This window comes from Homo sapiens, chromosome 8 (genome assembly GCF_000001405.40).
Source record: "Homo sapiens chromosome 8, GRCh38.p14 Primary Assembly".
In the NCBI taxonomy this organism is placed as follows: domain Eukaryota; kingdom Metazoa; phylum Chordata; class Mammalia; order Primates; family Hominidae; genus Homo; species Homo sapiens.
The window spans coordinates 100,291,171-100,316,418 of record NC_000008.11 but is presented as its reverse complement, the minus strand read 5'-3'; the positions used below and the strand labels follow the sequence as shown (position 1 = coordinate 100,316,418).

Sequence of the window (25,248 nt, the reverse complement as noted above, 5' to 3'; positions counted from 1 at the left end):
AGGATGTGGGTGGGGCCAGATAAGAGACTAAAAGCAGGCTGCCCGGGACAGCAGTGGCAACCCACTGGGGTCCCCTTCCACACTGTGGAAGCTTCGTTCTTTCGCTCTTTGCAGTAAATCTTGCTACTGCTCACCCTTTGGGTCCACGCTGCTTTTATGAGCTGTAACACTCACCGCGAAGGTCTGCTGCTTCACTCCTGAGCCAGCGAGACCACAAGCCCACTGGGAGGAAGGAACAACTCCAGACACGCCGTCTTAAGAGCTGTAACACTCACCGCGAAGGTCTGCAGCTTTACTCCTGAGCCAGCGAGACCACGAACCCACCAGAAAGAAGAAACTCCGAACACATCTGACCATCAGAAGGGACAAACTCCAGATGCGCCACCTTAAAAGCTGTAACACTCACCGCAAGGGTCCACGGCTTCATTCTTGAAGTCAGTGAGACCAAGAACCCACCAATTCCAGCCACACTTATGCTGTGGTTCTCAAACATGTGATATGAATTACCTGGAGAGCTTGTGGAAAACTAGATTCTAGCACCCCAACCCCATAGAAAATGAGTCTGTTAGTCTGATATGAAACTCAGAAATCTATTTTAACAAGCAAGATTAGCCAGGCATGGTGCCACACACCTGTAGTCCCAGCTACTCAGGAGGCTGAGGTGGGAGGATCGCTTGAGTCCAAGAGGTCAAGGTGATCGCACTGCACCACTGCACTCCCACCTGGACAACAGAGTGAGACCTTGTCTCAACAACAACAACAACAACAAGACGACGAAGAAGAAAAATTTCCATGACCCTGCTGGGAAAGAAACTGAATCAATTTGGAAATCAGTATATTTAGTCACATAAGGACAGGTAAGGAGGAGAGTCAAGAAGTAGCACATTCCAATGATCAATTGTGCTGAAAGAGAATCTCTTTCTCCCTGGACAAGGCCCCAGACTGCCTCCCTAAGCCAGGTGAAATGATGGTGGAGACTAAAGCCCCCAAGCTCCCATTCATTCCTGGTTGCATTTTTCCCCCCCAGTGAAACAAACATAAGGCCAAGCTTCTTGCCTTTGATGTCCTGAAGCACAATTAATGGTACCTTGTCCTGTGTCTATATCATATGTACTTTATTGGCTCTTATATTAGAGTGAGTATACATAGATCATCCAGGCTGGAGTGCAGTGGTGTGATCTTGGCTCACTGCACCCTACAACTCCCAGGCTTAAGTGATCCTTTCACCTTAGCCTCCTGAGTAGCTCGGACTACAGGTGTGTGCCACCATGCCTGGGCACACGACAAAACTCCTAGAGATGGGTTTTGTCATGTTGCCTAGGCCCAAATCATCTGCTTGCCTCAGCCTCCCAAAGTGCTGGGATTACAGGCATGTGCCAGCACACTGGCCTAGAGTGATTTTCTCGATGTCAGTTTCCCTGGCAAGTTTACAAGCTGCTCAAGGGGAGGGACGATACTTTACCATATTGGTGTCTCGCAGCACCTAGGGAAGGCATGTCATGTGCATAGCTAAGCTTCTGTGCCTGCTTCCTCTTTCTCTCACTAGGTGTCAGGCATTAAGTTCTCTACCTTCAAAGTTTAGTGGGAAAGGCCTACAAATAATGACAATGAAGTACTTTATACAGAAAAATTATAGAGGTAAGCATGGTTGTTGTGGAGCTAGGGAATGTGAGCTTGATTTAGCCTGTCAGGACCAGTGAGAGTTGATAGAAATGAGCCAGGCAGAGGAGAGGGGAGGGGGCATTTTAGGCATAGTAGCATCTGCAAAGCTAGGTAGTACCTACAAAGAGAAAGAAAGTTAGCAGGGTGTGTGAGAAAGAGAAGAGAAGGAAGACAGGAAAGGATGGGGGGATTTGTGGTACTGCTAGTACCTTACTGTGGCTAAAGAAATGTTCACTTAGGCTGTGACACCAGGGAAGGGGCCAGGGGTAGGTTTAAGAGAAGAGCATGAGCTCTGGAGCCAGCCTGCCGGATGGTCCAAATCCCAGCTCTGCCACTTAGCTACGTAACTTTCAGCAAATTACTTAAACTCTTGTGCCTCAGATCCTAATTTGGGAGCTTTAGGGATTCTTGATGATAAACTAAGTGGCTTAATACTTATAAAGCAATCAGAATAGTGCCTGTCATATAGTATATGTACTCAATAAAAAGTATATATAGTATGTGTACTCAATAAAGTGAACATATAGTGTACTATATATAGTATATATAGTATGTATGCAATAAAGAGTAGTTCTCGGCTGGGCACGTGGCTCATGCCTGCAATCCCAGCACTTTGTAAGGCTGAGCTGGGCAGATTACTTAAGCCCAGGAGTTCAAGACCCACCTGAGCGACATGGCAAAACCTCGTCTCTACAAAAAATACAAAAATTAGCCAGGCATGGTGGCATGTGCCTGAAGTCCCAGCTACTCATGAGGCTGAGGGGGGAAGATTGTTTAAGCCCAGGAGGTGGAGGTTGCAATGAGCCAATATTGAGCCACTGGGTGACAGAGTAAGACTCTGTCTCAAAAAAAAAGTAGTTCTCTTTCTCTTTACTTGCCACTTTTATTCCATTCCATGCAAGTATGACTGATTATACCTCTAAAACCAAAACCAAAACCAAAACCATCCACTTCTGTCTCCACAGTCTCCACCTTGGTTCAAAGAACTATGACATCTTTATTGGATTCCTGGAATAGCCTCTTAACTGGTCTCCCTACTTCCACTCTTGCTCTGCCTTAATCTGATCCACAGAACAGCCTGAGTGATCCTTTTCAAAGACAAATCAGATGTCACGCTGCTTAAACATCTATTGTCTCATCACACTTCATACCAATCATTTAGAATTCTCCTTACCATACCTAAAAAGGTATTAAATCATCCAGCTGCCTCCTACTTTTCTGACCACCCCCCGTCCCCTGGCCCACGTCATACTCCCCTCCCTTTTGCTATGTTCAGCCTCTAGCTGCCTTGAATTTGACAAGTGTTTCTGGCTAAGACCTTTGCGTCTGCTGTTCCTCCGTCTTCCCCACCTCCTAACTAGTTTGCCTTCTTCTTGTCTTATAGAATCCAGCTCAAATGTCAGAAGAATTGACGTTAGTTTGAGAGACCAAACTAAGTTACAGCCTCTTTGGTTTCTGTTACTCTGGTAAGTGTATTTCCTTTTCATTATTTTTCCTTCTTTATTCCTCATCCCCCAATGTAAGCACCATGCAAACGGATATGTAGGCTTTTTCATTGCTATAGTCTCAGTGCCTGTAATGGCAAACACCCCATCCCCAATATAGTAAGCATTCAAATGTTTATCGAATTGATGTTAAATGAATTAGAAGAGAGGAGGGAAACAAAAGAGAATACTGCCAAAAATTAAGGCACCTGGGGCCAATTAGGCTTTTGCAGTATTCCAGTGGGAAATGATGAGGCCCTGGCAGTGGTTTCCAACCTTGGTCATGCATTGCAATTACCTGGAAAGAGGTTATGTATTTATTTTTGTTGTTGTTGTTGTTTTGTTTTGTTTGAGACAGAGTCTCGCTCTATTGCCCAGGCTGGAGTGCAGTGGCACAATCTCAGCTCGCTGCAACCTCTGCCTCCCAGGTTCAAGCGACTCATGCCTCAGTCTCCTGAGGAGCTGGGATTACAGGAGTGTGCCACCATGCCCAGCCAATTTTTGTATTTTTTATAGAGATGAGGTTTCATCATGTTGTCCCGGCTGGTATCAAACTCCTGGCCTCAAGTGATCCACTCACCTAAGCCTCCCAAAGTGCCGGGATTACAGGCGTGAGCCACTGCGCCCGGTTTTCTTTCTTTCTTTCTCTCCCTCCCTCCTTCCCTTCTTTCATTCTTTCTTGAGACAGGGTCTCACTCTGTCGCCCAGGCTGGAGGCCAGTGGTGTGACCAGGGCTCACTGCTGCCTTGACCTCCTAAGGCTATGGAGATGATCCTCCTGCCTCAGCCCCCTGGAGTAGCTGGGACTGCAGACGTGGGCCACCATGCCAGGCTAATTTTTGTATTTTCGCCATCTTGCTCAGGCTGGTCTTGAACTCCTGGACTCAAGTGATCCAACCACCTCTGCTTCTCAAAGTGCTAGGACTACAGGTGTGTGCCACCGTGCCCAGCACACTTGGGGAGTTTTAAAAACTACTGATGCCTGAGCACCACCCTCAGTGATTCTGATTTAATTGTTGGGTGCAACGTGGACATAAGAATATGCAGCCAAATTTGAAAACACTGCTCTAAAAGCAGAGGGAGATATAGAACAGAGAGCACAGGGATATTTCCGGGGTATAATAAACAGGACTTGGTGGTTAGTTATGAATTGGAAGGGACAAAAAGAATGGGGCCTGGGAACAATCCTAGGTTTCTGGCTTGTGTCTGGGTGAATGAAAGAAGCATGCTTTGAGGAAAGAACAAACTACATCTTGGACAGCCTGAATCTGAGGTGCCTCTAGGAATTCAAGTTGGGGATGTTCAATAGGTATTTGTTTTTTAATAGATTTATTTGGCCTAGTGAAGAATAGAAAGTCCTTCTAATTTTTAGGAAGACAAGAAAGCCAGAAGCAGCATCTCTGGAAAATATTACCGTTGTACAGAGTGTAAGACCATTTTCATTCCGCACAGCTTCTTTATTCAAAATCCCCTTTCAAGCCAGTGCCCCATCTGTGCTGAAATGTTGTTTAACATGTTGATCTATTTTCTTTTCTTTTTTTTTTTTTTTTTTTTTTGAGACGGAGTCTCGCTCTGTCGCCCAGGCTGGAGTGCAGTGGCGAGATCTCTGCTCACTACAAGCTCCGCCGCCCGGGTTCACGCCATCCTCCTGCCTCAGCCTCCCGAGTAGCTGGGACTACAGGCGCCCGCCACCACGCCCAGCTAATTTTTTGTATTTTTAGTAGAGACGGGGTTTCACTATGTTAGCCAGGATGGTCTCGATCTCCTGACCTCGTGATCCGCCCGCCTCGGCCTCCCAAAGTGCTAGGATTACAGGCGTGAGCCACCAATTCCGGCCAACATATTGATATATTTTCAAGAAGGATATTATATATGGGTACTTAACTTACTATTCTTGTGCTATCTGTAGGCTTAAAGCATCCCATATGTAAAGTCGCTGGCAGCCTTCAAGTAGCATTTAAAGGTATAACAGCTTTAAAACTTCCCATAAATGAAAATAAACATACCCATAATTACTTCCTTTAAGATTCGAGGCCAAAGACACTTAAACCTAAACTGCCTAGCTTGTTCAATTTTCTAATTGGTAAACATTTACTGGGTTACCAAAGATACCAAGTACATTCGGAAAGACCATGGCTCCTTGGTTTGTTTCTAATTTAAATTACACAGACACACTAAACAAGGACTGGGAGAGTGATATATTTAGTTAAGTAACAGATGGCAAATGGACATTCTGTCCAGCCTCTATCACATTCGTTTCTCAGTATTCTATGTTAGAGTGATCTAAATCTTGAAGAGAATAAACCAGGAGGAAATGCACCAGGCCCAGACGGAATTTGTTTATTCAACTAAGAATACCAAGACTAGTGTAGATTGAAACATTCAAAGGGGATATGACTGGCTGAAAAGATATGAGACGAAGGAACAAATAAAGCTGGATTAAAGTAATTAGGAATGTATTAGAGATGAAATAGGAATTCTGATTACTTGACTGCAAAATAGTAAAAAAAAAATGAAATAAAAGAGATGAATGGAAGATACTCTCCAAACCCTCACGTAGGCTTGCTATTGTGGCTAAGTACTGTTCCTAACAGCCTCTGCAAAGACAGGTGCACTAAGAGGGCGGCTGCAGACGCACAGGGTGCTGCCGTCCTCTGGGAAAGGACATTTCCTCGCCGAGAGCTGCAACATCCCGGCACTTCTCTCCCTCGGCCTGCCAATCTAGCAGGTGAACCCTGAGAACACAAAGGAATGAATAATGCCGGGCAAACTGCCAAGAGCCAGAGTCGCCGAGTCTGGCAACTCCCTTCAACCGGGCGCAGCTCCAGCCACCCCGACCTGTCCTTGGAGGAGACGCTCTCTGGGCCACGGAGAACCGGCCAGGGAGACACCGGCCCCACTGCCCGGCGCGCTCGAGGCGAAGTCCCCTCCGCCAGGGACAGGCGTGGGGGCCGCAGTCGGGGCCACCCGGGTGCAGCGGGGCGGCTCCTGCGCGGGCGCGGAACGAACGTGCGCAAGGGAACAGCCGCGTCCAGAGCCGCCCGCAGCGGGCCCGGTGGGCGTGACGCCATGACGCACAGCACGCGGGCGGCGCGCTGGGGCGGGGCGGCCGGGGGCGGGAGGAAGAAGTGGGAGGAGGAGGAGGGGAAAGCGGGGGCTGCGGGAGGGGGAGGTGGTAGTTGCGGCGCTGGTTCCCGGGAGCAGCCGTCGAGCCACAACTGCGGAGGAGGAGTTCGGGAAAGCGGCCGTCGGGACTCCTCCCCTCCGTCGTCTCCGCCCCGGTTGAGAGGCGCCTCGGCGCATCGGAGGGACCCTCCCCCGCGCTTCCTCAGGCTGCTGTCGCCGCTGCTGGGAGATGGGCCTACTCGCCCGCCACCCTGCGCTGCCGCCGCTCTGAGGAGTTAAAGGTACGGGCGGGCACCCGGAGGAGCTTGCGCCCCGGAGCGGGAGAGAAGGGGCGGCTCTCGCTTACGACCCAGGGAGCTCTGGCCGGGCCGCAGCCCTAGCGCCCCTGCCCGGGACAGAAATGGATTCGGAAGTCCGGTGGGAAAGGCGTCTCCTCCAGTGTCCAGCGTGGGCTCGGGGCCGTGGCCGGCTTAGGGGGTCAGGCCTCGGTCAGCTCCGGGTCCCCTACCCGGCCCAGGCGCGGGCGTCTCCCGGGCCGCGGGGGCCGAGGTGGAGCGTGGGATCCGCCCCAAGCCCTGTCCTCCTGGTGCCTGTGCGGCCGGCGGCCGGCCCGGCGATATTATGACGGGCCGAGGCGGCGCTCCCCTCGAGCTGTCTCCTGCCCCTAAAGCGGGGGAGACCCAAGGGCGGTTGCCGCGGGGAGGCGGCGGGGGCGGAACGCATTCCTGACGGGTGAAATCGGCTCTAACGGGACCGATTTCCGGGCCTCGCTGCAAATTTGGAGCCGGGACATCGCCCCGCAAGCCGTGCTGCCTGGGGCCTTAGGGAGGGGAGCTGTGTTCGGAGGAAGGTTAGTCCGGGACTGCTACCACCTCCTTCAAAAGCAAAAATTACACATCACACCAAAATGGTGTAGCCTTGGGGTGAAGTATGTGTTAACGGGGGTCTTCCGGGATTGTCTCCCCGTGCTAAGCCTTTAGGGTGTTCCCAGCCCTCGCCCGGCAAGTAATACTACTACTTTGAATTTTCAGTTTTTCTTATCTGGGTTCCACTCTGCAGTTGCTCTTTTTTTCCCATTTCCATTAATGGGAAGAAGAAAAAGAAGTTTAGGGTTCATTAACCCCGCGACAAGGGCAGTAAATAAAAAGAGGGAAGAGAGTGGTTAAGGCTATATATGGGAGAGAGAAACGTTTAATTTTTTCCCATTGACCCTTGGAGATATAAATACACGAACGATGCTTTACTCTGCTTAATGTTTACTGTCCACAGTGTTGCAGAATGTTCTGTTGGGGTGACGTTAGAAAAGACGGCGTTTAAGTGCCGTTGCAATTTTCAAACCTAGATGTTGGCTAGAAATGCTAATTTTAAGTGTTAGTAAACAGTAGAGGCTTAAAGCAGCCCTTTCCTTTGATCGGTTGTCTTAAATTGTGATCTTTACATTCCACATTTTTTTTTTTTAAAGAACATGGTTCTTTTCATTTTTTTAAAATATCTTTTCTTATTTTAACCTAGATTCATTGAGTTTTGGTTGTTTGAAGTCTGACGGTTTGCCTTAAGTTTTATTTTCAGTTTTGCCATTACCCGTCTTAATACACATTTTACCACTTCTGTTTATAATGCAAGCCATTACCCTGTTTGCCTGTTTTTGCTTCTTTAACACTGACTGAACTATCTGAATTGAGTTAAAATGTAAATACTTCTCTATTTAGAAAATGGCGATGATCGTATTTTCAAATGTTCTTTCCTTGTTACAGTTTCATGGTAAAAATTTAGAATTAAGTCTTGGGACTTAATAAACCAAATTATGCTAAAAAAACACTTTTAAAATTTGTTAGTTTAATGCCCTGCTTAATGTTCTCTTTTTTTAAATTACTGTATAAAATTTAACTGAAGTTTAAATTTTACGTGTCCATGGAAAATATTTTAATGTCATCGCAAGGTGTCTTTGAGGAAAAAATTACAGTTGGCAACTAATGTTAGTGTATTTTTTTCACTATCTTAGCTTCCAGGAGATTCCAGTAAGATTAATTTTTAAAACTGCAGCATCATTTTAGGAGTTGAAGCACAACCCAATTCTTAGTACCAAATAGTGGCCACTGGAAATTTTGTTTTCTCATTTAGGGGATGCCTCAGTTGATCAGTAGACTTAATATAAAGAACTGTCCATACTGTCAACCAGACAGTGTTGGGATTTTTAAACAAATTTTGGTGATTTCTTGAGTTTTTGATGTATTTTGCTTGACTGAAACTTATTTTCTGCCTAACACACGAGAGGTGCTAAGATTCCTATTTTTAAAGATACTTCATTCAAGAAAATGGATGAATAAATAAAATACTTAGCATCTTGGTGGAAAGTAAATGCACTTCCCAAATTTGAATGTAAGTGAAGTCGTAAAGCAGTATGTTTGCAGTTGAGGATGTAAGACACTTGGGTCACCTCTATTTTATTGGGGTTGGATTGAAGGATACTATTTGTTATGGGGTTGTTTAGAATTAAATATGGGTAATTAAAAGCAAACTTTTTGTTTTAACTATTTGAAATAATCACTTGTATATTATGGAAGATTCTGACACCCCCTCCCCACCACGGTTTTTTTTTTGTTGCGGCAGTTTGTATCTTGAACACTTATTTAGATTTATATAGAAATTTTTTGGTTTCAGATTATTTCTCCCCCTTCTCCAACACATATAGTTTGTTGTTGTTGTCGTTTTTAATCTACAGGGCACAGATGGTTGAGATATGTAGTTTTCTGTAATTTCCAAGTAGGGAAAAGAAGGCAAAATATTTGTGATAACATGTAAAAGTCCCTAGTCAAGTGCTGGGCGCAGAGTAAGCTGGAGATAAATTTTGTTATATTAATATTTACATCTGAATTGCTCACTTATATCTTCTCTACTCGGGTTATATAGGAAATCTTAGGGAATTGTTATTCGTTTTTCTAATGTCATTAATAAGTGAAAACTGACTGTCAAATGCAGGCTGGTTTTGTACTGAACTAATAAGCTTATGATCTTTTAACATTCTTTGCCAAGATAAAAATTAGGCCACCTTGGGCAAAAGCCCAAAGTAAAGTTGAATTTCTAAATTTACATTTCATTGCATATTGCATTGTATTTGGCAAACTAGCACATCATAGCAAAATGGTAGTTGAATTTAGATTGTCTGAAAGGACCCATGATTATATATGGAGTAGTACTTCAGCTTAAAAGCTATTTATCAAAATATTCATCTTACTACTTACGGAGAATAGCTAAATTTTTCTTTACTTAGGAATTTTTTTTCTCCAACTAGGAGTAATTATGAATTTTCTTTTTTTAAGCCATGCCAGTTCTCTGTTAGTAGATAGAAGATGTCTAACATTGAAACAACTCATTTACTTAACCGTACCTGCACAGCTAAAGACTAAGGGATAATATTTCCTTGCTGAACATACCTGTATTTCAGATGGTGGTAGGCTTCAACCAAACAGGCAGTGAAATCACTTTGGGTGTTTAAAACTTGTGTACTTCATTTGTTTCTCAAAAGTTATCATATGTCAGTGATACTTTCTATATCAAAGTGGAAAAAGTAACACTTCTTGATAAAGGAGGTTTTGCTTGCATTGCTCTCTTTATCACTGTCATTAACACCTGAAGAATTATTTTTATTGATAACTTTTTTAAAAAGCTATGCCATTAGCCTTAAAACCATTATGTAGTCTTATCCTATTGATGTTATCTAGTATTTTATTTTATAAATCATTTACTAAAGAATTACTGTTAATTTGTTTTAGAAGTCCTATTAGGAAAGGTTTTGTTACATGAAACTCTCAATATGACAGAAGTGTTCAGTTGTTTTAACTCTGAAATAAGTTTGTGCATTGAATTCTGAAGCAAAAATCCTGCTCAGAAATCACCTTAGCTTGTTTACGCCCAAAAGAAACTTCGAAACTGAGTCTTTGGTTCAAAAAACTGGAGTTGGCCCCATGAAATTATGTATACTTAGCATTTTTAACTTCTGTCCTGTTGGGGAGACCCCTGAGGATAAAAATAGTCCTTATGATTTGAATAGCAGGCAGGTTGCCAATTGAAGAGACTTTGGTAGAAGTGAGCCATAAGGAGGGAGCCAGAGTTGTTAGAGGGAAGGAGCAAGAAACCAGGAGAAGCTTTTGGGAATGTGATGATGTTAGGTTTCCAGATAAATATTATATAACGTATTAATATAAATATTGTATCACAAAAATAAGCTCATTATCATGAATCTGTTGATTTATATTTTGTGATTTCTAAGTCACGTATTGGTATTTGCCCCTGAAAATGGTAAGGTATCCTAAATTAAGTTATTCTAATGCATAATCACAAATGAGACTATGTGAAATGTGCAGAAGTATAGGAGCTAATGCAAGCTCTGTGATGGCAGGGACCATTTTCTTTGTTCACTCTTTAAGTCTTAGCACTTAGCATAAGCCTGACAATAAAAGATGTCGAATAAGTATTTGCTAATAGAATTAAAGTATCTACAATCTAAGGTATTTATTTTATAACTATCTCTTCAGCAGTGTTGTCCAATAGAAATACAATGTGAGCCACAAATATAATTTAAAATTTTCTAGTGCCACATTAAAGAAGTAAAAGGAAACAGGCAAAATTAGTTTTCATAATGCATTTAAGCCAATAGATCTGAAAGATTATCATGAGTGACTTTACGTACTTTTATTCATATTGGACAGCGTAGCTCTAGGGGCGTTTTGTATGACATGTTTCTTTCTGCAGAACTTGTCTTTTTGTAGTCTTTTTCTAACTGATTGATGTGTCTTTTGAGGCCAAATACAGAATTGCATACACCTTCGAATTGGAGTTATTGAGTTGGATTGAAAGTCAGGCTACCTGTCTTCTCTCAGTTTTACATCTCCGCACAAAATGACTTTGCGCGTTACTGTCTTTCCCAATGTATAATCCTGTAATCCCAGCAGTATGGGGAGCTGAGGCAGGCAGATCATTTGAGGTCGGGCAAGACTAGCCTGACCAACATGGTGAAACCCTGCCTCTACTAAAAAATACAAAAATTTGCTGGGCTTGGTGGCAGGCACCTGTCATGCCAGCTACTAGGGAGGCTGAGGCAGGAGAATTGCTTGAACTTGGGAGGTAGAGGTTGCAGTGAGCTGAGATTGTGCCACTGTACTCCAGCCTGAGCAACAGAGCAAGACACCATCTCTAAAATAAAATAAGGAAGGATATTCATCATCTTTTTCATTGGATTAGTATAAGTTAATTATGCCTTTGAAACACTCTGGGCTACTCAGACAAGACTGTTATAAAAGAGATCCTCTAATTATTAGTAACTAGTCAGAGCAAGGCTCAGTGTAAAAAACAGGATAGAAGTTCCCATGAGACTGGTGCATATAGAATGTACTGTTACCTCCCACATTGGAATCAGTAACAATAAATCAATACAAGATGCTCTTAAATAGAATCAGGAGAGGCGACTAGGTTGGTTTGAGCACCAGATTTTAAACCTCTCATCTATTTAATATTGCCTGAACAAATCTGTTTTTCAGTTTTTGTATGGAATAAATGGGACTTTTTATATAGGCATCCTTAAATAAAATCATGAAATAAGGTCATTTGGAAAGTGGAGGTGGGAACTGGTAAGTAATGTGAGTGCGTAAGTGGGGGTGGGAACTGGTAAGTAGTGTGAGTGCGTAAGTGGGGAAAATAAAGTAACCATTTAGAAAAGCCTGTTATCTTAGGGTATATGATGTATATAGTACAATGACTGTAATTCTTTTATCCAAAGCAAGGGTGGCAGTGGTTACCTGGTAGGCAGTTGTGACTTCTGGTTGTATACATAGCCATATCAAATAGATTTCTCCTTATAGCCATACCCTTTAATATAAAACCAACTTTTGTCAGGCATGGTGACTCATGCTTGTAATTCCAGCACTTTGGGAGGCCAAGGTGGGCAAATCACCTGAGGTTAGGAGTTCGAGACCAGCCTGGCCAACATGGTGAAACCCTGTCTCTACTAAAAATACAAAAAAAAATTTACCTAGGTATGGTGGTGGGCACCTGCAGTTCCAGCTACTTGGGAGGCTGAGGCAGGAGAATTGCTCCAACCTGAGAGGTGGAGGTTATAGTGAGCCGAGATTGCGACATTGCACTCCAGGCAGGGTGACAAGCAAATCTGTGTCTCAAAAATAAAAATAAATAAATAAATAAAAACTTTTTTTTGGAGACAGAGTTTCACTCTGTCACCCAGGCTGGAGTGCAGTGACGCAATCTTGGCTTACTGCACCCTCCGCCTCCCAGGCTGAAACGATTCTCATTCCTCAGCCTGCCAGTAGCTGGGATTACAGGCACCTGCCACCACACCCAGCTAATCATTTTTTTTTTTTTTTTTTTTTTTTACAAGCGGCGAGGTTTTGCCATGTTGGCCAGGCTGATTTCGAACTCCTGGACTCAAGTGATCCGCCCACGTCAGCCTTCCAAAGTGCTGGGATTACAGGCGTGAGCCACTGCACCTGGCCCATTTTTAAAATTATGCACAAACGTTAAATATCCTTTAGATTTTTGCATAATTTAGCATACCTTACTGATGTCCTTAGCAAAAATTTCCAGAACCATATTTTAGTGTGTTGCATGGTAACCCCACAAAAGATATGTTCATGTCCTAATCCCCAGAATCTGCAAATGTTATTTGGAAAAAGGGGTTTTGCAGATGTAATTAAGTTAAGAATCTTGAGATAAGATCATCCTGGATTATCCAGGTAGCCTCAAAATCAAGTGACAAGTGTCTTTGTAAGGGACAAGTAGACCCATTACAGAGAAGACGACGCGCAGAAAAGGAGGAAGCAGTGTGCTCATGGAGGCGGAGATTGGAGTGATGTAACCGCAAGCCGAGGAATGCTTATAGTCACCAGAAGCTGGAAGAGTCAAAGGACACATTCTCCCCTCAAGCCCCAGTGGGAGCACGGCCCAGCTGGATTTTGGACTTCTGGCCTCCAGAACTGTAAGAGAAATGTCCATTGTCTTAAGCCAACCAGTTTGTGGTAGTTTGTTACAGCAGCCCCAGGAAACTACTATGCAGTCAAAAGTCTTCAGTAAACCAAAAATCTCTAATTATCGTTGTTTTATATCATGTGCTATGATGATCAGAGACTAAACAGCTCTTTCGTTAGAATTCTAATTCTGAGAAATATCAGAGGAAGTGTTTTAATACCCTCCAGTCTCAACAGGAATCGATTATATCTTATAAGATACATTTTGTTATTTTGCTTGTATCGTTTCTTTCTTCTCCTAACTTGCTCCTTCTTTGCTCTTTGTATACTTTTTAAGATGTAGTTGACATGGGGGAGGGGAATGAGTAAAACACTAGTAGGATAGACCAACAGGTTTTGTCTTCTTTAAAGTGTAATTCCTCCATGATCCCCCTTCCACCTTTTCTGTCTCCTTTACTGGATTCGCCTCTTCTCCCCTACATCTTAATGTTGGGATGCTACAGACCTCATTCCCTACTCTTTAATATTTACTTTTTGGTGATTTCATCTGTGTTCACGATTTTACATACCATCCAAATAACAGCAACTCCAAAATTTACATCTCTAGGCTTTACTTTTTTCCTAATCTCTGGGCTTGTCAAACGGGTGTTTGGATATACATCTCCACCTAGGTATAAGAGATATCTCAAGTATAAATGTCTAAAAATGAACTTCTGGTCTTGGCTCACTCTTAAAACTTGTGTTTCATAGCCTTCCCCATTTCAGTTGATAGCAGTTTCAGCCTTCTGATTAATCAGGCCAAATCCTCTTGTAATCCATCAGGAAATCCTTACAGTTTTACCTTCAAAACATGTCCTCAACACCTTCACTGATGTGCCATCGTCATCTTTCTCATAGATTACTTCAGTAGTCTTTAAACTGTTCTCTGTGCTACCATCCTTAATACCTCCCCATCTGTTCACAACACTTGAATGATCCTTTTAAACTTAGATTTTAAACTATCTCTGTCACTTTAGAAACCCAAGTTTCCCTGTCTCACTTAGAATAAAAGCCAAAGTACTTACAGTGGCCTTAACCCCACACAACCTGGCATTCTCATGTATCTCAGATAGTCTTTGCCTTGCTCATTAATTTTCAGCCATATTAGGGCCTCCTGGCTATTCCTTGAGCATACCAGACACATTCCTCCCTTAGGGGCTTTGCAGTGGCTGTTCTGTGCCTTGGATGCTCTTTCCCCAGATTTCCACATAGCTAACACCTCCTTTACCTCCTTCAGGTCTCTGCTAAATGCCACCCTTTCAATGAGACTGTGATCACCCTGTTTAAAATAGTAATCAACACCACACATACACTGATCTCCTTTGCTCTGCCTAACTTTTTTCCCCACCTTCTAGTAAAGAATAATATTAAAATATTTAGACGATATTTAGAAAATTGTAAACTTGTATATAAGAGCATGGAGTAACTTTTAGTAATGCTTATTTATAGTTACTGACCTAGAATGATTGTGGAGATAAGATAGGAGTTGGGCCTTGAAAGAGGAGTAGGACTAGCAGTGAAGATGGAAAAGAATACTCCAGGCAGAGACAAAGGCGTAGGAAAATTCATAGAGTTGAAACTATATATGTTTTGTTAAGATATTTAACAAATAGGTCAGTTGGCTAAAGTGTGGGGTTTTTATGTAGAACAGTGAGAAACTGAGGTTGCACTGTGGAGGGCTTTTAATGCCACAGGAAACTTGAAATTTATTCTTCATCTCGGGGAAACCAGTGGAAATTTGTAAGCAGACTTTAACAAAGAGGATAATGTGGTAATTTGGATACCAGGTGATTAATGAAGGCCTAGTCTAGGCAGTAAGATAGTAGAAAGAATGCTGAGCCTTTAGCTCTGCCACGTTAGCTGTGTGGGTAAGTCACATCTCTAGACCAGTGCTGTGCAATAGAACTTTCTGTGGTGAAGGAAATGTTCTAGACCTGTTCAGTCCAATATGGTAGCCAATAGCAACCTATGGTTGTAGAGCATTTGAAATGTGACTAGCACAACTGAGGAACTAAAATTTAATTTTAATTTAAATAGCCTCATGGGACTAGTGGTGATACATCGAACCTACTAGCTCTAAATTCAGTTTTCTCACTTACAAAAATAGGTTAGATTAGAATGCTAGAGTCACTAGAAGGATAGGTTTCACAGCCACATAAAGTTGGTGCAGCCTCTTGAGAAGAGCAAGTAAGTACATGAGCACAGGGACCTTTACATGACTAGTTTTTTTGTCTGTGTGAAATAGGTCCAGAATTTGTAGCCTTTTCACTCTTTGTATCTTCTTGACTTACTTAAAAGACTCACTCTGTTTTTTGATGGCTGCTTTTTCAAATTAGTCTTTGGATTACTGTCTCCCAGGAGTTGACTAGTTAAATATCTGATACATCTAATTTAATAGTCTGTTTTAGAATTGTAGTTAAACTGATTATGTTGCTTTTGTTTTTTTATTTTTTAATTTTTTTCTATTTCATTTTTTTCAGAGACAGGGCCTCACTGTGTCACCCAGGGTGGAATACAGTGGTGTGATCATAGCTCACTGCAGCCTGGAATTCCTGGGCTCAAGCAACCCTGCCACCTCAGCCTTCCAAGTAGCTAGGACTACAGGTGTGCACCACCACACCCAGCTAATTTGTGTAGTTTTTGTAGAGATGGGTTTCACCTTGATGCCCAGGCTGCTCTTGAACTCCTAATTTCGAGTAATCTGCCTGCCTTGTCCTCCCAAAGCGCTGGGATTGCAAGCATGAGCCACCATACCATGCCCAGCTGATTTTGTTGCTTTTGAATTCTCAGTAAGAAAACCGTAACAGAGATAAACCTTTATGATTGTTTACCTGCTGTGTAATTATTACCTAGATTTTTCTGTCTTTAGAAAATACTCCCTTTTCTTTCCTTATACAGTTAATAATATTTCCTTTGTACGTGAGTTTTTAATCTCATTTTCGGGAGACTTGTGTAAAGAGAAGCTAATTTGAATACTACATACCCAAAGGGAAACAGACACATTTTGCTTATTGTGCCTCTTGGTTCCCAAGAGATATTATTCCATCTGAGAATTACCTTATAGTTTGAAGAAAATTTTAAAACTAAGTTCTAGGATCTCTACCAAACACCTCTTACAGATTGCACTCTTATCTCCTATGTACATATATCATTCAATTACATGCACACACAATGATTTAGCTAACCAGAGGTCTTCCCTCCCCCTTACTCATGGTGTCCTTTAGGAGAAAGAGACAAATGAGCTTCCAAAATTGGAGAGGTGGGATGCTACTGTTATCAATAATTTGTATGGAGTTGAGGGATTTCCAGAGAAAGTGGTTAGGATAAGATTAGTCCAAACACTTAATACTTTTTTTTTTCTTTTTTTTATTTTGAGACAGAGTTTTGCTCTTGTCACCCGGGCTGGAGTGCAATGGCACAATCTTGGCTTACTCAACCTCCACCTCCTGGGTTCAAGCAATTCTTCTGCCTCAGCTTCCCGAGTAGCTGGGATTAAAGGCATGTGCCACCACACCCAGCTAATTTTGTATTTCTAGTAGAGACAGTGTTTCACCATGTTGGCCAGGCTGGTCTTGAACTACTGACCTCAGGTGATCTGCCCACCTTGGTCTCCCAAAGCGCCGGGATTACAGGCGTGAGCCACCGCACCCGGTCCAAACACTTAATACTTCTAATTGTCCAAATAGTAGAATCACATTAATCATGAGACTTGGTAAAATTCACTTTGACACTGAATTTACTAAGAAGAGTATACTAATACTTGGGAGAATTTGGAGACATTTTGTAAAGAACAGAAACAACAATTATTTGTTTATCCTAGAAAATTGTAATCATCTACTTAACCTAGAGTATTCTGTATATTAAAACTGCCTATATATTTGTATATTATTATCATAGTCTTTTGGAACTAAGGGACCCTAGACATCATCTGGTCTTAATCACCTTAGTTTTCGAATATGGAAATTAAAATTCAAAAACATAGGTAAACTTGGTTAAGATCTAATACTAGGTTAGTGTTTCCCTTCTGTTGAGAACCAAGGGACACAGTAAGCAAAATGTGTCTGTTTTCCTTTGGATATGCAGCATTCAAATTAGTCTCTCTTCAGCAATGTGTGTTTTAACCAGTTGAAGGAAATTTTTGACAGCTAGGTATCTTTTTTAAACCTATTTAAAAACTTACATGTCTCTGGGCACTTGATCATACCTGGCATTTTGCGCTCTGCTTTCCCTGTGGTTTTCCTAATGGTGTATTGTTTGTGCTTCTTGTCGAAGAGGGCCTGGAATAAGCTAACCAAAATGTTTTTTATTGGAGAAATTGAATGAGTAATGCTTTATTCCTTTCTGCAGCAGCTTACTTTTTGTAATAACTTGAGTAGTGAATATTACTTGTAATGAGTATTATTAAAACCACAAAGCACCATTTTGTTCTTCTCCCAATCAAATATGGACTTAAACAGGTAGATGTGGCAGGTGCGTGTTTGTGAAGCTGTTTAAGAAATACCTCTTTTGGGAGGCTTTGTGGCTTATGGGAATAGCTTATTCTGAACTTTGAGTTTCTGTTTCTGAGAGATTATAGAAACTATCTTAAGGCTAGAACCCAAGAGAGTATATCTGGGTCTTGGTAAGCATTTACTTTCTAAAGAACTTGTTGGAAACTGATACTCACCTACACTAATGATATGTTGAATTATCCCCATCTCCCTCATTTATAAGTAGTTGAATTAAAAATATTCATTCCATTTTTAATATTAGACCACTTGAGGTAGGTTTGTACTAGCTGTACATTATTTATATAATTTACCTTTGAGAAATTCGTGTACTTTAATAATGTATTCCAAACTTCCAAGTGCCTGTTCATTAGGGAAGCCATTTCAGAGCCAAGCATTTGTTTTTATTTCTAACCTAATGTGTAATAAGTGTTTTTTTTTTTTTTAACCCAATACATGGTAAATTTAGGTACATTTGTGCTATCTTCTCAGATGAGTATACTTACAGGTAATACTTAAGTGATTATATGTACCATACCCTTCACTGAATTCTTGATGTGTTATTTTATTTAATCTTTATAATCTATGGACTGTAGGTACTGTAATTCACATTTTATAATTGAAGAAACTGAGTCTTAGTAATTTAACCCAATGTCACATAGTTAATGTAAGTTTCAGAGGCTGAACTTGAACTCAAGATATCCTGACTCCAAAGTGCATGCTTTACTCACTCAACAAAATATACTCTATCACTACCCCATATTTATATAGCATTTAAAAAACCTTTCCCCCCAAGCTAAGCTAAATTTTGTTACCTCATCTTATTATATTTTCCAGCTTTAAGGTGAGTAAGATAGATAATTGTATCTGTAACAGAAAACCCAAAATCTCATGGTGGAACACAATAACAATTTATTTCTCACTCACACAAAGAACCATGTGTAGTACTCAGGTATCCAGATTCTTTCCATCTTGTGACTCCTCTGTCCTCTAAGTTCTGCCTCACTAGAATTACTCCATTCAGCCAGTCATTGTGTGAAGAGAAAGAGAGCTTGAAGGTTTTTTTCAGGGATGATTTAGAGGTCAGTCCTTGAAAGGGCATACATTATTATAGTCAGATTGCATTGGCCAGGACTAATAATGTGGCCACACTTAGCCATAAGTGGAATGGGAAAATGTAGTCCTGCTTTGTGCTCAGAAGGAAAATGAAGCAGATGAGCATGTAACAGCATCTCTGCCACAATAGTATTTTCCCCATTTTACAGATGATACAGAGAGGTCCTTTCTGAACAAAAGGCATAAAACTACTTGGTAGAGATCATAGAACCTAGGTTACCTTAGATCTGCGTATTATGTGCTCACGCGTCTAAGGACACATTGAAGTAATTGAAAGGTATTTAGATTGTACATCTAGTAACATTGCTTTCTTTCACATTGGGCATTAAATGTCTTCATCTCTTCATGTCTGTTATTAATAGACTTTAAATAGATTATTAATTGACTTACCTCATAAGGAATAATCAACTTTAAAATTTTTTCAGTGGTAATTGCCATTTTAAGTAAAGATGACACAATAGCATTATAATATCTTTATGGACATATTTATGGTCACCTGTCTTTTGAATATACAATATTGATTAACCTTTGTTTGTATGATTTTTGTTTTCAATACATGTGATGGGTTACTGTGGGCCGGCCATCTATCCACATAATGTTTATTCTTGTGTGATGAATCGGAGACTTTGTTTAGCCATGAAAGTTGTTTTTTAACCTTCCCAAAAACTTAACTCTTGTGGAAAGAGTTGCACCTTCAACTGGAATACTTCTAATGGAATAGAATTATTTTCTAACTGAGGTTATAATTGGTACAGCTGTGAATGCTGTACTAATAATGTAAATAGCGAGAGTAGGAATGATTTACAGAAACTGTTAACTTTTACTGGCAAGTTAAATCTGACATCTCAGCATTAACAGTTAACCTTTCATTGTACTTTAGACTCCTTGGAGAATGTGTTGAAAGCTGTGGATCTATCCTGTGCCTAGAATATATATATATTCACAAATTAACATACACTTTTGAGATTTCATGGATTTCTCTGAAGCCAGTCCATGCATTAGCTGTTATTTTAAGCATTTTTATTTTTTTCTAAAAATGTGCTTGTTATATTTTTACTTTACTAGGCTGTAGAAAGAGATGTTTAATAAATACTATTACCTGGGCAGTAAGAATAATGCCCGGAGGCTGGTCGTGGTGGCTTACGCCTGTAATCCCAGCACTTGGGGAGGCAGAGGCAGGAAAATCACTTGAGGCCAGGAGTTCAAGACCAGCCTGGCCAACATGGTGAAACCCCGTCTCTACTAAAAATACAAAAATTAGCCAGGCATGGTGGCACGTGCCTGTAGTCACAGCTACTAGGGAGGCTGAGGCACAAGAATCGCTTGAACTCAGGAGGCAGAGGTTGCAGTGAGCTGAGATTATGCCACTGCACTCTAGCCTAGCAACAGATTGAGACTCCGTCTCAAAAAAGAAAAAAAGGAAAAAAAGAAAAAAAAGAATAATGCCCAGAGAATGCATTGCTGCTTGGTATCCGAATTTGGTAGTTATGTTGGGGAATCAATTTATTAGAGGAAAATAATGACATTTCTAAATTTGAGGTTCATAAGCAAGTCTTATAAGTAAGCATAGATCATGAATGGCATAACTTAAAAATAACATTTAAATGTGATTTTTTAGTAATAGCAAACTTTATTATAATGAACTTCAGTGATTTCTCTCTGTTAAGAGAAAGTGATATATGATAATCTAGTTTAATGCCTCAAACTTCTCTTAATGATATGATTCAGATTTATAAAAACTCTGTTTACTTTGGGCCAAAATTAGCTTGGGTAGAAATACATCATTTCTAGTAGATCACTTTAAGTTATAGTCTGATCAAAGGATGGCTTATGATAATTATCTATTTTTTGGTAGTCAGCTACTACATTAAATTGTACATAGCCATATTTAAATTTGATGAGATGGTGTTTGCAACACTACATATAGTAAATGCTGCACAAAGACAGATATTTCCCTTTTTTCATTGCCTTAGGAACGTTTATGTAGCACCAGAGGCTGAGCAGATCCAAAATAGTGAGTCTAGGGTTGAGGATTTCCCCACCTTTTATCTGCTAATATTGGTTCCTAAAGTTATGCCCAGTGAGCAAAATGAATATTCTGTATACTAGATAATTTGGTTAGATAAATAGTGATTTCTTTTGTGCAACTTAAATTGTCTACCAAAATGTTTGGGTATTAGAAAACCATTGTAACTACGAAAAATAGAGTGCTGTCAAAAGTATCTAAAGTCTACTAGGAAGAAAGCTTTAAAATGGATTTTGATAAATACTAGTTTCAGTTATGGGACTACCATATATGTATGTCCAAATAAAAATCAATTTTTTTCTTTAAAATTATGCTTAGAAAAGAGGGAGTTACTTATTAAAATTTAGATCCTTGCAAAGTCATTCATGTTACTCTTTGGAGAAGATATCATCTGAAGTATCTGTTCAATGCTTAAATGTACTGGAATGAAAGTTCCACAGAATAGGGACCTTGTCTATTTTGTTCACTATCCAGCACTTACAAGAGTATCTGGCACATGATAGGCACTGAACATATTTGTTGAAAGAATAAATGAATTAATACTTATACAGGTTACTTGGAGCAAGTAAGGCAAAAAGTTTAACACATTTAGTCATTCGTTGAAGACCTTACAGTTCCAGGTATTGAATAATGCAAGAAAATCTTTTAAAGGATCGTTTTAAAAAAGCAGTCTAGTAAGCAGTTATATTGTGGAGATCGTGGATGCATAAGTAGGCTAAAATTTCCTGTGACAGCATCCTGTACAGATTCAAGAATACTGTATCTCAAAGCCTAGATGAAGATATCCTTTGGAAAACTGCAAGATGTTTTCCTTAAAAAATTTATACATCTTTCCCCCTAAAGAAAAGTCTATGTAGTGTAGGGCAGCTGAAAGTCAAGCAGAAAATCAAGAGTCTTACTGGCTTGAAGTATCAGGGGATGGAAGTTAAGTGGCCAGAAATAGGATAAATCGCAGAAAGGAGGGAGTTATGGTAAGTAACTTCCAAAAATCTGTGGGTAAACTCCCTTCAGATATCTAGATGTCCCCTAGAACTGTGCTTGGGAGATTCCAAGGAGTTCAGTGGAAAACAACAGCTGGCAGGCAGAAAAATCTAAATAGAGATTTTAGCTAATGGCTTCTGCAGGGGTGACAGAATTTGGTGTTTGATTCCCAGCAAGATAGAAGGGATTGGTAAACATGGGTGCTTTCCACAGATCTACTCTAAAAGAGCATAAAACCAAGCTTTCAGAAGTTCAAGTTGACTAGCCAGTGACTTAATTGCCCAGTATAATAAAAGTCCTCACTCTTCAGGAGAAGACAAGAGACTACAGAGCCTCTATAAGATATCCACAATATCCAGTTTATAATAAGCAGTTACAAGGCATGTAAAAAAGCAGGAAAATATGCTTCATTCCATGTCAAGACTCCCTCAAAAATAGGTAGCAGACTCTGCAATTAGCAGAATTAGCAGACAGACTTTATAGCAACTGCAGTTTTTAAGGACTTAAAGGGGGAAATATCATAATGACCGAACATGTGGGTAGTCTCATCAGAGAAATGGAAACTATGAAAAAGAACAATAGATGTTATAGAACTGAAAAGTACAATATCTAAAATGAAAATTTCACTGGATGGATTTAACAGCAGATTGGAGATGGCAGAAGAAAAAGTTGATTAAATTGAAGATAAATCAATAGAAATTTGCCAGTCTACTGAACGAAGAAAAAAAGATTACAAAAAAGAACAGTGCCTCAGTTGCCCCTGGGACAAAAATCAAACTGACATACAAATAATTAGAATTCCAGGAGTGGGAAGAGAGAGAGAGACAGTGTGGTAAAAAATACTTAAAGAAATAATTTTCCCCGAATTCCTGTATTTGGTTTAAATCAACTTCAAATTCAAGAAGTTCAGTGAACCCCAAGCAGGATAGAGACAAGGAAAACCACATCTAGGCACATCTTTATCAAACTGCTGAACATCCAAGATAGAAAACAATGTTGAATGCAAGCAAAGGAAAAAAAGACACATTATGTACAGGGGAATTAAAATATCAGGAAAGATGACTTGTCAGAAACGATGGAGGCCAGAAGACAGTGTAATAACCTATTTTAAGTCCTGAAAGGATAAAGATATCAACCTGGAGTTCTGTATTCAGCAAAAATATCCATAAAACGTGAAGGTGAAATAACATTTTTTTTCCCCAGATAAAAGTTGAAAGAATTCATTGCTAGGAGACCTGCATATCAAAAAATGCTAATGGAAGTTCTTGAGGCTGAAGATACATGACACCAGATGAAAAGTGGATCCACAAGAACAGGGCTCCCCAACCCTTGGGCCACAGTGTGTGGCCTGTTAGGAACTGGGCCACGCAGCAGGAGGCGAGCAGCCGTGAGCATTATTGCCTGAGCTCCACCTCCTGTCAGATCAGTGGCAACAATGATTTCTCATAGGAGTATTGCGAACTGCACTCGAGGGATCTAGATGGCACACTCCATATGAGAATATAATGCCTGATGAAACCATCCTTGCTCCCACCCCCCACCTCCATCTGTGGAAAAATTGTCTTCTATGAAATTGGTCCTGGTACCAAAAAGTTTGGGCACCGCTGCACAAGAAAGATTGAAAAGTACCAGAAAGTAAATATGTAACAATTAGGTTTCATCCTCCAAAAGAAGACTTGGTAAGCTTATAGAGCAATGGAATAATTTATAAATAAATAAATAAATGTCTCAAAAATAAGAAATTAAAAAATTAAATCAGTATGTATGTAGGGGGTGGGGCATGGAGGAAAGATCATTATTCAGTAACTGGTGTTGAGGTAACTGGCTAGCCATTTAGAAAACAAATTTTGATCTCTACTTATTCATAAACTATCAAATTACCAGTAGAAAACATGTGAAGGGATTTTAAAAATATAATCTTAGAGTGGGCAAGGCTTTCTAAGGCTGGTGTAGAAGTCAAAAGTCAGAAAGATATGTGAATTTGAGCACGTTAAAAACTTTTGAAATTTCTACATTGGAAAATTGCCATATAGTCAAATACAATTTATACGTACACACACACACACACACACACACACACACACACCCATATGATAGCAAGCCTCTTTATTAAATAGAACTATGTCTTACACATCAGTAAGGAAAAGTGCTGCAGCAGGATATAAACATGTGCCTAGTGCACAGAAAGTGAAATGTAAATGACTTGTAGTGAGACAATACTAAAAATATCTTTGCTATCAAAGCAAATGTTCCTCGTGGATTCCCAATCTCACATGCAAATACATAGCCATTAAAGTTAAATTTGTTTTTTTTATTCTTTATTATCTTCTCAACATAAGCATGTGCTGAAGTTTAATAGCTTGTTATTCTTTTGTAATACAGAATACAGCATTTAACATAGTATTTTTTATTTGTCTTCTTTATTGACAGTTTCACTTGAGTATAGAATAGCTTTAAGCTTCTGTAGTGACCAAGTTAGTGATCAGTAGAAACTCTGCTGGGAATTATCTGTACCTATTCCATCTTTACTTGAAAAAAAAAAAAAAAAAAAAAAGACTTAGTCCTCTTTCTGTTCAACAGTGCTAGTAAATATTGTCACATGCTGTTTTTATTGCATGCTTATTTTAGAAGTACCATACATCTGGATGTCAGACATCTAAAAAACAAATTAAAATTAGAAGACATAGGTACACTGCTCTTACATTTAGTATTTTGACCATCAGCACAAAATTACTGGATTTTCTCCATATTTTAAGCTGTTTGAGAAGTGACAGAAGAAACCTAATTTTAGCTGAATAACAGAAGCAAAAACTGTTATTTGACCATGTAGTAGGTTTTCCTCTTGGGAAGTAAGTGTTTTCTGTGTATGCAAACTTTTTGCCCTGCCTTCTTCATTTCCAGAATACCTTTCTAATGATGTGTAAATCATTTAGGCAGATAGGTGGCTATTAGATGCTGCTGAAGTGTTTATGGTTAGATGTTTATTGGTGGGATATTATAAATGTATAATTCTTGAAGTTGTAGTGTCAGGATACTTAACATGTTTTACGAATCCTGAAGCACTTCTGAAGGTAAAAGGTTCTTGTCTTTCCACAGTTAAAAAACTGGATGTAGTAAGGCCGTATGGCTTAAGGATCACAGAGTAATAGCAACTGAAAAGCATCATTCATTCATTTAATACTAAGCACTTGCTATAAGGTACACATTTTGTAAAGCACTAGGTTATCTTACATTCCATTTCAGCTAACATTTAGTACGGTGCCGGGTTTGTTAGGCAGGTTTAACACATGTCAATTTCATATTATTCTTAGAACATCTATTTGAGGTGAGTGGTATCATCCATATTTTGTG

At 40.3% G+C, this 25,248-nt stretch overlaps 1 protein-coding gene across 17 annotated transcripts in view, besides 8 other annotated features; it reads left to right on the top strand.

Moving 5' to 3' along the window:
* RNF19A (ring finger protein 19A, RBR E3 ubiquitin protein ligase) overlaps nt 1-25,248 on the top strand; it is a 79,138-nt gene that overhangs the window by 19,786 nt on the left and 34,104 nt on the right. For 2 of the 17 annotated variants that reach the window (XM_047421664.1, XM_047421676.1), the window contains exons 2-3: nt 3,047-3,128; nt 4,009-6,552. The gene's annotated coding sequence lies outside the window, so the exon portion shown is untranslated. Of the gene's footprint in view, nt 1-2,952; nt 3,129-4,008; nt 7,122-13,017; nt 13,260-14,225; nt 15,892-25,248 lie in introns of those variants that run through there. The other 15 variants (XM_047421668.1, XM_047421665.1, XM_047421673.1 and 12 more) reach the window with 15 other exon arrangements.
* Nucleotides 206-265: an enhancer, noted in NCBI's record as "active region_27691". NCBI's record gives its function as "activates an Ori minimal core promoter by ATAC-STARR-seq in GM12878 lymphoblastoid cells {active_cell/tissue: GM12878}" and the evidence as "EXISTENCE:reporter gene assay evidence [ECO:0000049][PMID:35858748]".
* Nucleotides 286-345: an enhancer, noted in NCBI's record as "active region_27690". NCBI's record gives its function as "activates an Ori minimal core promoter by ATAC-STARR-seq in GM12878 lymphoblastoid cells {active_cell/tissue: GM12878}" and the evidence as "EXISTENCE:reporter gene assay evidence [ECO:0000049][PMID:35858748]".
* Nucleotides 2,529-2,678: an enhancer, noted in NCBI's record as "active region_27689". NCBI's record gives its function as "activates an Ori minimal core promoter by ATAC-STARR-seq in GM12878 lymphoblastoid cells {active_cell/tissue: GM12878}" and the evidence as "EXISTENCE:reporter gene assay evidence [ECO:0000049][PMID:35858748]".
* Nucleotides 5,974-6,363: a silencer, noted in NCBI's record as "silent region_19416". NCBI's record gives its function as "represses an Ori minimal core promoter by ATAC-STARR-seq in GM12878 lymphoblastoid cells {active_cell/tissue: GM12878}" and the evidence as "EXISTENCE:reporter gene assay evidence [ECO:0000049][PMID:35858748]".
* Nucleotides 6,109-6,268: a silencer, noted in NCBI's record as "fragment chr8:101322379-101322538 (GRCh37/hg19 assembly coordinates)". NCBI's record gives its function as "represses an EF-1alpha promoter that drives an FKBP-Casp9 reporter gene in an ReSE screen in K562 erythroleukemia cells {active_cell/tissue: K562}" and the evidence as "EXISTENCE:reporter gene assay evidence [ECO:0000049][PMID:32094911]".
* Nucleotides 6,724-6,813: a silencer, noted in NCBI's record as "silent region_19415". NCBI's record gives its function as "represses an Ori minimal core promoter by ATAC-STARR-seq in GM12878 lymphoblastoid cells {active_cell/tissue: GM12878}" and the evidence as "EXISTENCE:reporter gene assay evidence [ECO:0000049][PMID:35858748]".
* Nucleotides 6,864-6,913: a silencer, noted in NCBI's record as "silent region_19414". NCBI's record gives its function as "represses an Ori minimal core promoter by ATAC-STARR-seq in GM12878 lymphoblastoid cells {active_cell/tissue: GM12878}" and the evidence as "EXISTENCE:reporter gene assay evidence [ECO:0000049][PMID:35858748]".
* Nucleotides 7,184-7,233: a silencer, noted in NCBI's record as "silent region_19413". NCBI's record gives its function as "represses an Ori minimal core promoter by ATAC-STARR-seq in GM12878 lymphoblastoid cells {active_cell/tissue: GM12878}" and the evidence as "EXISTENCE:reporter gene assay evidence [ECO:0000049][PMID:35858748]".